The sequence below is a fragment of the Homo sapiens genome, chromosome 3, assembly GCF_000001405.40.
Source record: "Homo sapiens chromosome 3, GRCh38.p14 Primary Assembly".
Taxonomy (NCBI): domain Eukaryota; kingdom Metazoa; phylum Chordata; class Mammalia; order Primates; family Hominidae; genus Homo; species Homo sapiens.
The window spans coordinates 121,815,886-121,833,806 of NC_000003.12; the positions used below are offsets into that span (position 1 = coordinate 121,815,886).

General features: G+C 36.3%; 1 protein-coding gene across 10 annotated transcripts in view; it reads right to left on the bottom strand.

Annotated features, from left to right (window-relative positions):
- Window positions 1-17,921, bottom strand: part of IQCB1 (IQ motif containing B1) — a 65,300-nt gene that overhangs the window by 46,125 nt on the left and 1,254 nt on the right. For 6 of the 10 annotated variants that reach the window (XM_017007539.3, NM_001023571.4, XM_005247911.5 and 3 more), the window contains exons 3-5: window positions 12,976-13,087; window positions 12,585-12,747; window positions 10,166-10,295 (exon numbers count right to left, since the gene is read on the bottom strand). In XM_017007539.3, the coding sequence (XP_016863028.1) occupies window positions 10,166-10,295; window positions 12,585-12,747; window positions 12,976-13,075 (393 nt within the window). In that variant the 5' untranslated portion in view covers window positions 13,076-13,087. Of the gene's footprint in view, window positions 1-10,165; window positions 10,296-12,584; window positions 12,748-12,975; window positions 13,088-17,921 lie in introns of those variants that run through there. The other 4 variants (NR_134968.2, NM_001319107.2, XM_047449251.1 and 1 more) reach the window with 2 other exon arrangements.

Genomic DNA, 17,921 nt, shown 5'->3' on the forward strand with positions numbered 1-17,921 from the left:
TTCACAGATTTAGAAAAAACTACTTTACATTTCATGTGGAACCAAAAAAAAAAAAAAAAAAAAGAGCCCGTATAGCCAAGACAATCCTAAGCAAAAAGAACAAAGCTGGAGGCATCATGCTACCTGACTTCAAACTATACAAGGCTACAATAACCAAAACAGCATGGTACTGGTATCAAAACACATATATAGACCAATGGAACAGAACAGAGGCCTCAGAAATAACACCACACATCTACAACCATCTGATCTTTGACAAACCTGACAAAAACAAGAAATAGGGAAAGGATTCCCTATTTAATAAATGGTGCTGGGAAAACTGGCTAGCCATACGCAGAAAACTGAAACTGGACCCCTTCCTTACATCTTATATGAAAATTAACTCAAGATGGATTAAAGACTTACACATAAGACCTAAAACCATACAAACCCTAGAAGAAAACCTAGGCAATACCATTCAGGACATAGGCATAGGCAAAGATTTCATGGCTAAAACACAAAAAGCAATTGCAGCAAAAGCCAAAATAGACAAATGGAATCTAATTAAACTAAAGAGCTTCTGCATGGCAAAAGAAACTATCATCAGAGTGAACAGGCAACCTACAGAATAGGAAAAAATTTTTGCAATCTACCCATCTGATGAAGGTCAAATATCAAGAATCTAAAAGGAACTTAAACAAATTTACAAGAAAAAAAACCATCAAAAAGTGGGTGAAGGATATGAATAGACACTTCTCAAAAGAAGGCATCTATGGGGCCAACAAACATATGAAAAAAAGCTCATCATTACTGGTCACTAGAGAAATGCAAATCAAAACCACAATGAGATACCCTCTCACTCCAGTTAGAGTGGCGATCATTAAAAAGTCAGGAAACAACAGATGCTGGAGAGGATGTGGAGAAATAGGAACGCTTTTACACTGTTGGTGGGAATGTAAGTTCAACCACTGTGGAAGACAGTGTGGCGACTGCTCAAGGATCTAGAATCAGAAATACCATTTGACCCAGCTATTCCATTACTGGATATATACCCAAAGGATTATAAATCATTCTACTATAAAGACACATGCACACGTATGTTTACTGCAGCACTATTTACAACAGCAAAGTCTTGGAACCAAACCAAATGCCCATCAATGATAGATTGGACAAAGAAATGTGGCACATATACACCATGGAATACTATGCAGCCATAAAAAAGAATGAGTTCATGTCCTTTGCAGGGACATGGATGAAGGTGGAAACCATCATTCTCAGCAAACTAACACAGGAACAGAAAACCAAACACTGCATGTTCTCACTCATAAGCGGGAGTTGAACAATGAGAACACATGGACACAGGGAGGGGAACATCACACACTGTGGCCTGTCAGGGGGTAGGGAGCAAGGGGAGGGATAGCATTAGGACAAATACCTAATGCATGCAGGGCTTAAAACCTACATGACGAGTTGATGGGTACAGCAAACCACCATGGCACATGTATACCCATGTAACAAACCTGGACATCCAGCACATATATCCCAGAACTGAAAGTATAATAAAAAAAAAAGAAAAGAAAAGAAAAAGAAATTGTCTGCCAACAGTATTTCTTATACTCAAAGCAGCAGGTTGTCTGTACTATTATACCTCTCATTCAATTTCATTCTTCTAATTAAAGAAAAATTCTTAAACTAAAAATACATCTATTTTAGGTTTTCTATTAAAAATGGCTAAGACCTTTTCTACTCTATTAGCCTGGGAATTCCTTAAATGTAAGACTGTGTCTATTCTTTATATACTCAAAGCACCATAAATAGAACTTAATATAACCTGGTGATCATTATGGACTGTTTGTGTCCCTGAAAACTCATATGTTGAAACCCTAACCTCTAATGTGATGGTGGAGACTTTGGAGGTGTAGATTGGGTCATGATGGTGGTGTCCTCAGGATGGGATTAGTGCCCTTATAAGAAAGAAAGAAAGAAGGAAAAGACATGAAAGAGACAAGAGAGCTCCCTCTCCCTCTCCACACAAACACAAGCAGGAGGTCATGTGAGCACACAAGAGAGTGGCTGTCTGCAAGCCAGGAAGTGGGCCCCATGAGGAAGTGGATCTGTTGGCTTCTTGATCTTGGACTTCTTAGTCTCCAGAACTATAAGAAATAAATGTCTTTAAGTCACCAAGTCTATGGTATTTTGTTACAGCAGCCTGAACAGAGTAAGTCAAGTGACTGAGTTATTAATATCTGTCCATAATTGACAACAGTTGTGAATCTGCTCAAGCTCTGATATAGTAGTAGGCCCAAATGTACATATAGCCAAGAACTCTTCTAAGGTAAAGGAGTTTCAGCCTTGTAGACTTATCACTTCTTATAAATTCTAAGATGAACCTCTGCTGTCAAAAGGTAAAAATAGTTTGCATATTAATATAATGTATTCATTAATGCCCAGTTCCACTCTTCTCATTACTTATTTTTGGATTCCCACTTGCGGGTACCTAGTGAGGAAATATCATTTTTTAAAAAATCAAATGACAGCTTGGAGCAAAATAATCCTGCTACATTCCCCATATGGAGCTAAGAAACTGTCTTCAAACAGGGATGCCAAAAGAAGAGAGAAGCATGTAAGTAAACCGGACTTAGGGCAGGGCCCAGCAGCTAGAAGTCAAGGTAGTACTAAAGACATGTGAGCTTGTAGTTATTAGACAACTTGAAGATAGAGCCCAAAGGAGAGAGTAAACACTTTTAGGAAAAACAAACAAGAAAACAAGCAAGAGACTGATTGATAATTGATAAGTATTACCAAAAAAACCTGAACAGATTTTAAAAGAGAGATTATAATATCTATATGTCAAATGCATGCAGGTGCAGGCAATAAAGGTCAGAAGATGACCACGAATAAGAACCAGAAAGGCACCTAGAATCAGTGTGTAAATGAAGAAAAAGTTAAATTTAGAAGGCAGTCAGAAGCTAGGCATTCAGACAAAGCTTAAGAGGACCTAAATCTGAAGCTAAGTAAATAAACTGGAAATATGTTGTGAGGGTGGAAGCAAACAGCAACTTTTAAAAGCGCCTTTCAATAAGGAAAATCAACTTAAAGTTAGAGAACTGTGTTTAAAATTACTTAAAGCAGTGGTCTCTAACCTTTTTTGCACCAGGGACCGGTTTCATGGAAGATAATTTCTCCATGAACTAGGGGGTCAAGGGGAAGGATGTTTTGGGGATGATTCAAGCCCATTACATTTATTGTGTGCTTTATTTATATTATTATTACATTGTAATACATAATGAAATAATTATACAACTCACCATAATGTAGAATCAGTAGAAGCCCTGAGCGTGTTTTCCTGCAACTAAAGAGTCTCATCTGAGAGTGATGGGAGACAGTGACAAATCATCAGGCATTAGATTCTCATAATGAGCCTGCAACCTAGATCCCTCACCTGCACAGTTCACAATAGGATTTATGCTCTTATGAGAATCTAATGTTACCGCTGATCTGACAGGAGGCAGAGCTCAGGCGGTAATGTGAGCAATGGGGAGTGGCTGTAAATACAGATGAAGCTTTGCTCACTCACTTGCCCGTCACTTACTTCCTCCTGTGTGGCTGGGTTTCTGACAGGCCATGGATGAGTACTAGTCTGTGGCCTGGGGGCTGGGGACCCCTGACATAAAGAATAATGCAATAAGTACCTAAAAGTATCTAGTTATTCATATTTTTAATATCTTATACCCAATTATGTACTTATTAAACATAGTAATTAATGATTAATAATTATGCTTTTTCAACTTTATTAGTCTTGTTTTAAGAGAATGAGCATACCTGAAACAAATATCATGCTGAATTTTGAATGATTTTTACTCATGAGTAATCTAACTCTATAGTGTTGCCATCCAATAGAAATATAATGTGAGCCATCTAGATAATGTTAAGTTTTCTAGTAGCAATGTTTTTAAAGAGTAAAAAGAAATAGGTAAAACAAATAACAATATATTTTATATTAGCATTTTTAGCATGGAATATATATAAAAAATTTTTGGTATTTCTTTGAAATCTGGTGAATATTTATACTTGGAGCAGATCTCTACTTGGAGGCTAAATTTTCATTAGAAATTCTTGGTATGTATTTAGATTTTATAAAACTTACAGTTGTAAAAGTAGATTCACATACTCAAGTTGTTCCAAACACACTTAAGTTTCCTAACAGAATTGATCATCAATTTTTAAATTTAAAATAATTAAAATTAAATAAAATTTTCAGTCTCAGTTACAAAGGTACATTTCAATTGCTCAACTGATACACAGGGTTAATGGCTACCATATTATACCATGCAGAACAGACCATGAGGCCATGTACTAGACATCACTACTTAAATTATTTAAATGGCAGGTAGAGCACCTAGCAAATTCATCTCTTCGAGATGACAAATATTTATTAAAAAATTAAAAATGGCCTCAACTTCTTTGCCTTCAGTTTTCTTCATCCATCTAGCATATTGAGCCATAATTCCTCAATTTGCCCAAATACATTGCATCTATGTCAGACATCTCTAAGGCTCTGAACACAGCCTTCAGATATTATCTCTACACCACATCCCTAGGAAAGCTCATCCTCTAGTATGCTCCTCTTCAAAGTTTTAATTAGCATTCATAAGAGGACTTTCCAACCTATAGCCATAGTCCTGATCTCTCAATCCAACTTCAATTCCATCCTAGACATTTCCACTTGAAAATGCAACTAACTTCAAAGGGATTGCATCCTTTTTCCCAGTTTTTACCTCTGGCTTATCACTTCTCTTAAACATCTGTAGGGCCTTGAAACCTTAGACTCAACTTAGACTCATCATTAATATATTATATATTATCTGTATAAAAGCAGTGTCTGATAGTACACCTTTTATATTCTTACAATTTTTTTCTTAATATTTCATTTGACCCTCTATTTTTCCAAAGTCATAGTGAGTCAAGACACTTATTACCTTAGTTCTTCTAGCTTACTACAATAATTTAAAATGGTCTCTTCTTCCGCTCTCTCCAGCATACTCTTATGTCTCCTCAAAAAAAAAAGCCTCTTCACTATCGTAGAATCAAGTTCAAACTTTTTCTGTTTTTTCCTTTTTTTTCTTTTTTTCTTTTTTTTTAAAGAGATAGGATCTTGCTCTGTTGCCAAAGCTGGTGTGCGGTGACGTGATCATAGCTCACTGCAGCCGTGAGCTCCTGGGCTCAAGCAATCCTCCTGCCTTAGCCTCCTGAGTAGCTAGGAAGACAGGCATGTGCAACCACACTTGGCTAGGTCTTGCTATGTTGCCCAGGTTGGTCTTGAACTCCTGGGGTCAAGTGATCCTGCCATCTCAGCCTCCCAAAGTGCTGGGATTATACAGGCGTGAGCCACTGCATCTGGCCTTCAATCTTTCTGAATGAGAATACTCTATCTAACTCTGGTAGGAATCTGCACTGGGACTCAAAGATGTCATACTTATTCCTCTTTCCTGGTCTTGTCCATTTCCGCTGCCTGTAATGCCCTCATATTTCCAAATCTCATCCATGCTTTAGAGATAGATAGACCAGGTACCATTGGCTCCACAAAGCTTTTTGGAATCACTCTTGTTCACATTGGTTGTTCCCTACTCTTCCCCTTTATAGAACTTACTTTCCTGTTAGTTGTGGGCCAGAAAATATTTTAGGCATTATAGTCTCTAGAAACTACTGAACTCTGTGGCTATAGTGAAAGTAGTCATGGATAATATAAACAAATAGGTGCAGCTGTGTTCCAATACAACTTAATTTTTAAAAATAAGCTGGATTTAGCCCACAGGCCATAGTTTGTTGACCTAAGCTTTTGCTGACCAAATGTATAAACTCGGGAAAAAATATAAAAAGCAACTGTTTGAAGGTTTTAGATAGCAAGCAAAGGCACACAGACATGATCCTGAAATAAAATGTACTGACTGAAATCTAAATTTATCTTGTGTGATTGTCAAAGATATTCTGGGTGTTTCTGTAAGGGTATTTTTAGATGAGTTTAACATTTAAATTTTTAGTCTGAGTAAAGCAGATTGCTTTCCTTAATGTGGGTGGGCCTCATACAATCAGTTGAGGGCTTGAGTAGAACAAAAGATTGACCCTCTCCCACATAAAGGGAAATTCCTCTTGCCTGACTGCCTTTGAGTTGGGACATCAGTATTTCCTGACTTCAGACTCAAACTGAAACACTGCTTCTTCATGGATCTCGAGTCTGCTGGCATTTGGACTAGCACTATGCTATCAGTTCTCCTGATTCTAAGGCCTTTAAACTCAGACTATACCATCAGCTCTCCTGGGTCTCTAGCTTACCAACTGCAAATCTCAGGACTTGTTAGCTTCCATAATTGCCAATTCCTTATAATCAAGCACTTTCTCTTTCTTTCTCTCTCTCCATATATCTTCTATTGGTTCTGTTTTTCTGGAGAGACCTGACTAATATGCCTGGCTTTTCCCAGTGTGTGTTTATCAACATAGGGAAAGAGTTCAAATAAGAAGTTGCAGTATAACTTGGCTGAGGAGTCAGAATTTGGAGCTTGGGGCTGCCAGAACAGTTAAAGAAGTGATCCACAAAGTACAGAGCTTCAAAATCTATATACAAACTTCCATTGAATTCTTGACTCTTAAACTGTACATATGAGAGAAAAGGCTCCACGGAGCCCAGAAGAATCTACAGCTGAAAGGCTGAAAGAAATTACCAGCAATTTCATCTTTTGCCTAGTGCTGGGTATACAGAGTTTGGAGTTTAGGTTCTTCCAAGTCAGATGGTCTGGGTTAACATGGTGGGCTTTCCATTTAAACCACAGAAGGATCTCACCTTAGGTATAAGGACTGTGAACCAGGACTAAGGGCAATACTCTAATGGCAAAACTGAAGTAAACCTCTCCAAAGAAAGGCTAAAACCAAGCCTCCACAGGAACAATTGATCTGCCAGAATTTAACTGCTCTCAAGTCTTCAGAGGAAGATACGAATTTCTACAATGTGTCATTCACAGTTACCATTATAAAACAAAAAATTAACAGAGATGTGAAGAAGCAGAAAAATTTGACCCAGATAATTTGACCCAGAGAAAAAACAGATAATAAAAAGACTCTCAAATGATCCAGGTATTGGATTTATAAACAACAACTTAAAAATAACTATAATAAATATGGTAAACAATCAATAAGAGAAGCAAATAAAAATCATAGAACAATACAATATATGAAATGAAAAATTCACTAGGTAGGATTATTAGCACATTAGACACTGTAGAAGATAGGGTCAGTGTACTTGAAGACAGAACAATAGAAATTATCGAAACTGAAGTAAACAACAACAAGAAAAGGATGAAGGCAGCCTCAACAACCAGAAGTCCCAGAGTGAAGGTAGAGAGAATAGGGCAAACAAAAGTATTTGAAAAAATATTAGCTGAAAATTTTCTTAATATGAATACATTAACTCAGACACATGAAACTCAGGACCTCCAAGCAAGATAGACATCAGGAAATCTACAACAAGGTTCATCAAAGTAAAATTGCTGAAAATAAAACAAAATAAACCAAACAAAGAGAACATCTTAAAAAAGCCAAAGATAAAAAGGTGCAATATGTATAGGAGAATGACAAGAAGAATGAAGGCTGAATTTACATCAGAAACAAAAGATGCCAGAAGACAATGGAAAAAAATCTTTAAAGTGCAAAAAGAGGAAAAAAAATTGATGAAGTAGAATTATACACATGCAACAGAAATATTCCTCAAAAGTGAAGGCATCATGAAGACATTTTCAGATAACCAAAAAGCTGAGAGAATTCATTACCAGCAGAATTGCACTGTAAGATATGCTAAAGGAGGTTGTCAGGCTTAAAGGAAATGATACCAAATGAAAATTCAGATCTGTTTGAAGGAATAAAGACAACCAGACATAGTAGATATAAAAAAATCATTTTTCTTTCATTTCTTTAAATTATTGAAAAGTCAATACACTATTTAAAGTAAAAATAACACATGGTAGATTTCATAATATATGTAAAAGTAAAATACATGACAAAATAGCACAAAAGATAGAAACTGGGAACAAATTTCTTAAAAATAGCAAAATGGTAGAATTAAACCTAACCATAGCACAAATTAGATTAAATGCAAGTAAATGATACCCTTTAAAACAACAGCTTGTCAGACTAGATGAAAAAGCAAGACCTGACAATACGCTATTTAAAACAGACTCATTTTAAGTATAAGACAGAGGTTAAAAAGTAAAGGTTGAGAAATGATGTACAATAGTCTCCCCCTTATCCATGGAAGACATATTCCAAGACCCCCAGTGGATGCCTGAAGGTGTGGATAGTACTGAACCCTATATATACTTTTTTTTTTAATCTGAAAACTGAGACCAGCTACTAAGTGACCAACTGGCAGGCAGCCTGTACAGTGCTGATATGCTGGTCAAGGGGTGCTTCACATCCTGGGAAGGACACTATGAGACTTCATCATGCTATGAGAACAGCATGCCGTTTAAAATTTAATTGTTTATTTCTGGAATTCTCCATTTAATATTTTTGAACCACTATTGGCCATGGGTAACTGAAACCATGAAAGGTGAAACTGCAGAAAGTGTATCATGTAAACACTAATCATAAGAAAACTGGAGTGGCAATATTCGTAATAGTAAACAAAGTAGACTTCAAGATAAGGTCTATTATCAGAGATAAATATCATTTCATGTGACCTGAGTCCATGAGTAAGGTTGAAAAAAAAAAAAAAGACCAGTTCATAATGATAATAGCTTTCATTCATCCAGAAGATATAATATTCCTAAATGTGTATGTATCTAATCACAGAGCTTTGTAATACATGAAGCAAAAACATATAGAACTAAAGACAGAATTAGACAAATCCGCAACCATAGTTGGAAATTTTAATACCCTTGCTCACTAAAAAGTAGAACTGTAGACAAGAAAAAAAAAAGAGAATTTAGAAGACTTCAACAACTCTACTAACCAAATTGACCTAATTAACACTTATAGAACATTACATACAACTGCAGAGTTCACATTTGGGTATACAAGTAGTCCTAGCTTTTGCATGGCACCATATTAAATAAAACCTGTGCATATCAAAACCTTTGCATGGTTCTGACATGCACGAGTTTCAGTTAAGATGGAACTGTGCAAAACAAAGGTTTCTTTTTCTTTTCTTTTTTTTTTTTTTTTCAGATGGAGTTTTGCTCTTGTTGCCCAGGCTGGAGAGCAATGGCACTATCTTGGCTCACTGCAACCTCTGCCTCCTGGGTTCAAGTGATCCTCCTGCCTCAGCCTCCCAAGTAGCTGGGATTATAGGCATGTGCCACCATGCCCGGCTAATTTTGCATTTTTAGTAGAGACAGGGTTTCTCCATGTTGGTCAGGCTGGTCTCAAACTCCCAACCTCAGGTGATCCGCCCGCCTCGGCCTCCCAAACTGCTGGGATTACAGGTGTGAGCCACTGCGCCCAGCCCACAAAAGTTTCTTTTAATGAACATTCACAAAGATAAAACATATGCGGAGGGCCATAAAACAAGTCTGAAAAAATTCCAAAGGATTGAAATGATATAGAGAATGTTATCTGACCAAAACATAATTAAATTAGAAATTGATAACAATAAAGTATCTAGTAGATCTTCAAATATTTGGAAATTAAGCAACACACTTCTAAATCCCTGGGTCAAAAAAAGAGCACATGTATAGCATCTAGCATAATGCAACCAAGAAATACTTGAAAAGACCCCTATGTTTGGGTTGAATATTTTGACTGGAGAAGATATGAGAGATCAAATAGGAAGTTCACCTTTATTCTTCACTACTGGAGCTACTTAGAAAAGCCCTAGCCCTAGAGAACATACTTTCCTCTACTGTTAATTTAAGTAAAAAGTATGTTTAGAAAGATGTTATGGAAATAATTGTCTATGGGTGCTGCCCAACAAGTAAAGTAGCAAGGCAGATCCTTCAAAAAATCAAATGGCAAGCTTCAGTCAGCATTAAAAATTTTTCAAACATAGAGATGATTTTTGGAAGGTTGTAACTTTGAAAATGTTTAAATTCACTACTTTAATTGTACTTTCAGCCAAATATTGCACATTTAAAAAATAACAGAACAGCTTCTTAAGAATTAAACTGATTTAGCTACAAAAGACTAAATAAACACATACCTTAGCTGCATTGATAAAACATGTTTGTAATTGTCTCCCCAAAACTAGAAAATTTTCTGCAGCTGATGGAAGTAATTCATTGTAAAATTCCTCTGCATCTTCTCCTGGCTCCAAGCCCACACAGCAATGGCTGAAATAAGAGCACAAGTTCGTGTTAATTAGAAGTTTATGTTGAATGCTCAAGCTTCTAGAGACACTGTGCCTTATTGAGAATTTTTAGTATGCTTCTTTTGTTACCAAGACAATAAAGAATTTTTGTTGAAAAATTAGTCTAACAACTTTCTAGAAAAGTAAACAGTGGTATGGACCATGCTTGTACTTAGGTCTGGGATTTATGTATCCTAAAAACCTACATATCAGCTCATTCAGCAAATAAAAGACACTTGGCTCACAATAAAGAGAAGCTAAGTTTTCAGTGAATTGGCTATAATCATTCTCAAAGCTATAGGATACCTTGAGAGTTTAATTTATGAAAAGCATTTGTGTTAACTAATACATTTTAGACACCTAATAGCTGAAAAATGCCCAAGTAGGATTTGTTTGCAAGGGATACATAAGGAAACCAAACACTAATTTCATACCAATTTTACCTTCCAATAGATCTACTTTTTGCAAAATACTCATTTGCATATTCCTTATATCAGAAGGACAAACGGCAAAACCTAACTCTAGTAGGAACACTTTACAATATACATTAGAGGAGAGAAAGTCACTTAGAGAAAAAGGTCCTCTTAAAATTGTACATAAAAGTCATTTCCTGTACATAAGTCAGAAGTCCCAATAATAAAAGGTTTTTCTGTAAACTAACATTCAAAAGAGCCTCAAACCCAAGAATGGTCTCTATGTGTGTACTCTAATGAACAAAAACTGCTGTTTGAGTCTTTTCAACAAAATGTATGGACACTAATAAGCAATAACAACTATGTATTGAGCATGTTAAAAATCTAAGTAATCAATGGCAGACTGGATAAAGAAAATGGTATATTTCTTTGGGGTGGTACATATACACCATGGAATACTATGCAGCCATAAAAAAGAACAAGATCATGTCCTTTGCAGCAACATGGATGGAGCTGAAGGCCATTAACCTAAGTGAACTAACACAAGAACAGAAAGCCAAACACTGCATATTCTCACTTATAAGTGAGAACAAACATTGAGTATGCAATTTACCTATAAAACAAACCTCCACATGTACCCCTGAACCTAAAATAAAAGTTAAAAAAAAACCTAAGTGGATAATATTTACATGTATCACTTTTTGTTGTTGTTGTTGTTTATTTGCACCTGGGTTCCTAAAGTTAATGGGCTAATGCTCACATGTATCAGCTTTTCTTTTCTCTTTGGTTCCTAAAGTTAATTACTTAAGAGTATCTTTTTTGATTGAGAAGATTAACAAATGAAATTATGTTTATTTGTGCATTCAGAAACATGGGAATTTCTTAAGTCTTGAATTCCACCCGAGAGCCTGGCTTAATCAATATCATCATAAACTAGCATATCGAATCAAAACAAAAACATAAGGCTTTATTTACTTAAGAAAATCAATCTTGAAAATTAAAGTATGAAAAAGAATATCACATATATTTTTCAACTGTTCTTTGTAACTGTGTGCTTTAAATTTGGCCTTTACCAAGTAACACAGTAGGATTAAGCAGCTTAGAAATCTAGCATCCAAGACAAACCCTTTCAGTGGGAATAGCTTATTAAATTCAAATGGCTTATTTAGGAAAAACAAAAAAAGAAGGCTAGGATCCAGTTAGTAAATACACACTTTCACTTATTAATCAGGAAGTAGCTTAGGCACTAAGAACATCTGGTTTATTTTACTACCTCCTTTAAAAAATGTTTATTTCTCTTCTATTAATTTCTAGCATGGCAGTAGATCAGTAAATTCTACTTCTAAATTTTATTGACAGTATTTGGGTTGCTTAATGAAATACACAGTTGATAGCTACATTGATATAGTGAAATAAAATGTTTCTTTATCAGTTCTCCTATAGTACTTGCTTGCATACTTTCATTTTAGCACTGATTTCATTCTGCTTTGTATCATATACTTACATGACTGTCACCCAATCTCTATTTTAAGTTTCTCAGGTACAGAGCCAGTGCCTTAATTTCTTCACTTCTTTAAAAATTCCTTAATCAATAAAAAGTATATTAGGCACTTGGAATTCAGTGGTGAGAAAAAAAATGATCACCATCTTCATTAAGCTTGTGGAGGAAAATTTTAGACAGTCAAATAATCTGAAGTAAAATTATGAATAATAACATATAATATGAAGGAAAAGTACAACCAAAACCTACAACAGGAGGTTGCCAATGCTTGTTAGGCAGATAAATAAAAAGCAAATGTTGAAAATCAGAATCAACTACTACATCCCTCAAGAACAGCTGACTTACTGCTTTATTTTACCTTAATATCTGTGTAAGCTGGGAAATTGTAGTCCAACCACCCTGGATTCGAGAATAATCTTGACTGAGGACCAAGAGGCAATATTGAATGAGATCATAACAATATATATCTTGTTTGATTTTCTTCAACTCTGAGCTTCCTAAAGGTGTGATGTTTATTATTTCTAAGGCAAAAGGAAATAAGATATATTTATTTTTGCTTAATACATCCAGGAGCTATTTGTATTTTTATATGTTGAATAATCACTAAAAATATATTAGAAGGAAAAATTACTGTTCTATTATAGTGTTAAGACCTCTCTGAACAAATTTAAAAGAAATGTTAAAATTGTACCAACGATGGAACCATTTTTCACTTAAAATGCTATCTAATCACAAAAAGATTTTCTTACCTTTTAACTTCAACAGTATAACAGGGACATTCTGCTCAGGGCTTTTTGCAACTTCAGCAGCTATAGATAAGATCCTTGGGTCTGTACCTGTTGGCTTCATTTCTCTTATTACCTATATTTTAACAGAATCAGAGAATAAAGGTCAAAAAGCCAGGAAATGTTCACTACCTAAATAATGTTTGAAATATAATTTCAATATAAATAAAAACAGCTTTTCTTGCCTTGTTTGAGAGGCAGAATGTAGATTTTTTCATTTCTTCCTTATAGAAAACTGGTTTTTCTAACCAGTGTAAAAGAGCTCAAGATTCCTATACCTCACATGTAACAGCTATAGCAGGTATTGTTTATTGTGCACTCACTAAGAGTCAGGAACTGTGATAGGAGCTTCACATTCTCTCTCTAATCTGCACAATAATTCTAGGATAGGAATTAACTTCCTTTAATCACACAAGAAGAACTGCAAAAAAGAGCTAACATGACAGGCCTAAGACTACTATACTTTCAAAGGTGTGCTTACAAGGTTGGCCTTTGACTGGCATCTAGAACTTAGATTTCAGGAGGGTTTCTGCCATTCTCTGGTAAGAGTGGCTCCCTGTGCCTAAAACTGTTTATGAAAAACAATGTGGTTCATGCTGAATACCCGCCTTCCTTCCAGGAGTCTTAGAATTCTGGTACATGCCAGTCGAGAGTACCTATACAGAGGGTGCCTATGTGGCCATCCTCCAATAAAAATTCTGATCACTGAGTGTCTAGTTGAGCTTCCTTGGTAGACAACACTTCAAACATGTTGTCATAGCTGGTTGCTGGAGGAATTAAGCATATCCTACGTAACTCCACTGGGAGAGAACTCAGAAGTTTGTACCTGATTTCCCCCAATATGCTTTTTCCCTTTGCTGATTTTGCTTTATTTCCCTTCACTGTAATAAATCATAGCTGTAAGTACACTATATTCTGAGTCCTGTGAGCCCTCCTAGTGAAGCACTGACCTTCAACACACTAATGCTCAGAAATGTTACATAAATATAAGATAATCAAAGATTGCTTCTAAATAGTATAGTGAATAAGGCCAGGGGCAGTGGCTCACACCTATAATCCCAGCACTTTGGGAGGCCAAGGTGGGTGAATCACTTGCGGTCAGGAGTTCAAGACCAGCCTGGCCAACATGGTGAAACCCCATTTCTACTAAGAATACAAAAAATCAGCTGGGCATGGTGGCGCGTGCCTGTAATCCCAGTTACTCAGGAGGCTGAGGCAGAATAGCTTGAACCTAGGAGGTGGAGGTTGAGTGACCTGAGATCACATCACTGCACTCCAGCCTGAGTGACAGAGCTAGACTCTGTCTCAAAATAATAATAATAATAATTAATAAATAAGTAAATAGTATATTGAATAAAATCAATTCTCCTAACATTAAAAAACAAGGTCCACATCCTAATTTGTTGCTAAAACTTTCTCTATGTAAAAAAAGTTTAAGGCTGAAGAATCGCTTGAGAATTGGTGTTCAAGACTAGCCTGGTCAACAAAGCAAGACCCTGTCTCTAAAAAAAAAAAGTTTTAAAGCATTTGAAGCTCAAAGATATCCTTATATAATAAAAGCGTATTTCCTTATTTATAGTAAAGCTAACATGTATCAACTGTTTAATATAAGCTAAGCACTATGTTAATATACTATACACTGTCTTGTGTAATCCTCACAACAGGGCTATGAAGTAGATAGAGCGTGTGATCATTTCCATACATACATATATACATATACATATATATGTTTTTGTCCACAGTTTCTGGCTCATAACTCCCATAGCCTTTGTTACAGTCTTGTTATGTTAGGGTGCTTTAGGCCTCAGAAAACAGAATCTATTTCTGACTTCCTCCTCTCCTCCTTTCACCTGCTCCTTCTCTCCAAAGCAGAACTCTAATCATCCCTGCCTTTCTCTGACCTATCTTGTCTAGCTGTAGGTCATAAGACCCCTGTTTCAGAATGGGTCTTGCCCTATATCCTGGAAGGAATGCTGAACAGAGAAGCCAAGAAGAATCTGAGCAGACAGGCCTTGCTGGGTTTCCCCACTCAGTCTGTTAGTATCAGATCATATCTTTTTTGTCCAATCACATTTCCAAAATGATTGTCCATGCTTCAGTCATGCCTATCCATTGAAATCTCCATAAAAGGCTCAAGAGGATGGGGTACAAAGAGCTACTGGATAGCTGAACATGTGGAAGTTCCTGGAGGAATTTCCTGGATATCACAGGCAGGGAGGACATGGAAGCTCTGTGCCCCTTCCCATACTTCACAGTATGCATCTCTTCATTTGTATCCTAGTATTTTTTTTTGGAGACAGGATCTCACTCCTGTTGCCCAGGCTGGAGGACAATGGTACAATTATGGCTCACTGCAGCCTAGACTTCTCAGGTTCAGGTGATTCTCCCACCTCAGCCTCCCAAGTAGCTGGGACTACACTTGCAAGCCATGACGCTCGGCTAATTTTTTGTATTTTTAGTAGAGACAGGGTTTCTCCATGTTGCCCAGGGTCTCTGTAATATCTTTATAATAAACTGGAAAACATGTTTCCCTCAGTTTTGTTAGCTCCTCTAGCAAATTAATACACCCCAAGGTGTGTATTAATAGGATTCCTCATGTGTAGCTGGTCAGTCAGAAGCACAGGTAAAACAACTTAGGGCTTGGATTGGCATCAGAAATGGGGGTCCCTCTTGCAGGACTAAGCCCTAAACCTAAGGGATCTGACCCTATCTCCAAGTAGACAGTGTCAGAATTGAATTAGATGATACCCAGCTGGTGTCCGCTGCAGAATTGATTGCTTGCTTGTTGGTGGAAGAAAACTCCACACATTTGGTCACAGAAGTCTTTTGTGTTGATTGTCATGATGTGAGAGCAAAAACTGTTTTTCCATTCATATATCTCTTATTAGGTACAATATAAATCATTAAAAGACAGGTTTGCTGAAAATACCTTAAAGAAAGCCCAGTGCAACTCCCGGCACATAGTAGTCACAAAACTTTCAAAGAGAGTGCATATAGTTATCTCATTCTCTCCAAATGGCTGCATTATGCTACATTTCCTTTTAAGAATGCAGCAAAATATATTTAAACATCACCTCTACTGGAGGTCACTCAAGCTGTATGCTATTACAAGCAACACTGCAATGAATATACACATGATCCTTTACATTTTTGCCAATCTGTTAGATGAAAATTGGTATGATTGTGTTTTAATTTGTATTTCTTTGATTATTAGGGATGTCAGGCACATTTCGTGTTCACTGGCCATTATTTCTTTTATGTATTTTCTATTCATATCCCTTGACTATATTTCTATCGGTTTGTCTTATTCTTTTGCAGAAGCTTTTCATACATGGATAGGAATCTTTTCTCTTTTATATTGGCTGTAAAATTTTCTCCTTGTCATTTATTTTTTTAAATTTGACTATGGGGTCTTTACCATAATTTTACAATTTTTTTTTTTTTTTTTGAGAGAGAGTCTGACTCTGTTTACCCTGGCTGCAGTGCAGTGGTGCAATCTCAGCTCACTGCATCCTCCACCTCCTGGGTTCAAGTGATTTCATGCCTCAGCCTCCCAAGTAGCTGGGATTACAGGCGTGTGCCAACGTGCCCAGCTAATTTTTGTATTTTTAGTAGAGATGGGGTTTCACCATGTTGGCCAGGCTGGTCTTGAACTCATGACCTCAAGTGGTCTGCCCACTTCGGCCTCCCAAAGTGCTGGGATTACAGGCATGAGCCACAGCGCCCAGCCATTTTTACAATTTTTACATATGAAATATAACAATCTTTTCCTCTATGGCATCTGTCTTTTGTGTCCTGTTTAGAAAGGTCCTCTCTAACCCAAGAGATAAAAAACATTCTCCAAATCTTCATGTTTTTTTGGTTTTGTTTTCCTTACATATCTTCTAAAGTAAGGTATTTTTGTGAATGGTGTCATATAAGAATCTAATTTTTAATGTTAAAGTTATTGATGGATTAAAAAATGCACACAGTAGTCATAAATTCATAAGGTAACTAGTTATGAATAGACATAACAGAAACAATCTGAAACGTCACATTTTCATGCACTATGTATACATACACATACACAGGGTATCTTTTTGGACTCTACTTAGTTTCTAGTAATTTAATCTGTTTGTCTATTCTTGAGCTAGTACAACATAGTTCATTTTAATATATGTTTGGAGAAAATTCACCTCAGAAGGTAAGCTTCATGAGGGCAACCTACCTATCCCTTAGAGATGATTAAATGAGTTAATACATGAAAGCAATTGGAACAATTCCTGGCACATAGTAAGAGCTCTCCAAATGGTTATTATTAAAGCCCAGTTCTACCATCATACTACATTTTAAGACCATCTTTGCTGGCTGCCTTCTTATATCTTTGGTTCACAACTGTATTCCCAGTGGCTAGACTAGTACCTGGCACGTACTAGGATTTGCTAAATACAGGTTGAAAGTATGAGTAAATGCACAAACCTCAGGCATTCTGAGCCTCAATTTCTTGACTTTCTGTTTTTCTCTTGTTACAATAGAGAAAGCTCAGATTTATAGTTGGAAGCCTCTCTAACGTAAAATAGGCTCAAAACAGTTTGTGCCCTCCTGGCTACCGTAATAAAACATCACTAAATCATTATTGTCATCAACAAATATGTGCAGAGCAGTATGGTAGATGCAGGGGATGCAAAGATTCTACACAAGACATACTCTCTGCTATTGTTCTGGTTGGGAAAGAAAAGTATGTTTATGTACATGTGTACACACACACAGATACAAAAAAATATACTTAAGAATATCAGATATATGTTAAATGCTAAATAGATGACACAGATAAGAATACAGGCCATAAAGTCAGAGGACTGGGCTTCTCTGAACCATTTTTCTTGCTGTAAACAAAATAGCAATTCCTACCTCCTAGAATGATTCTATTT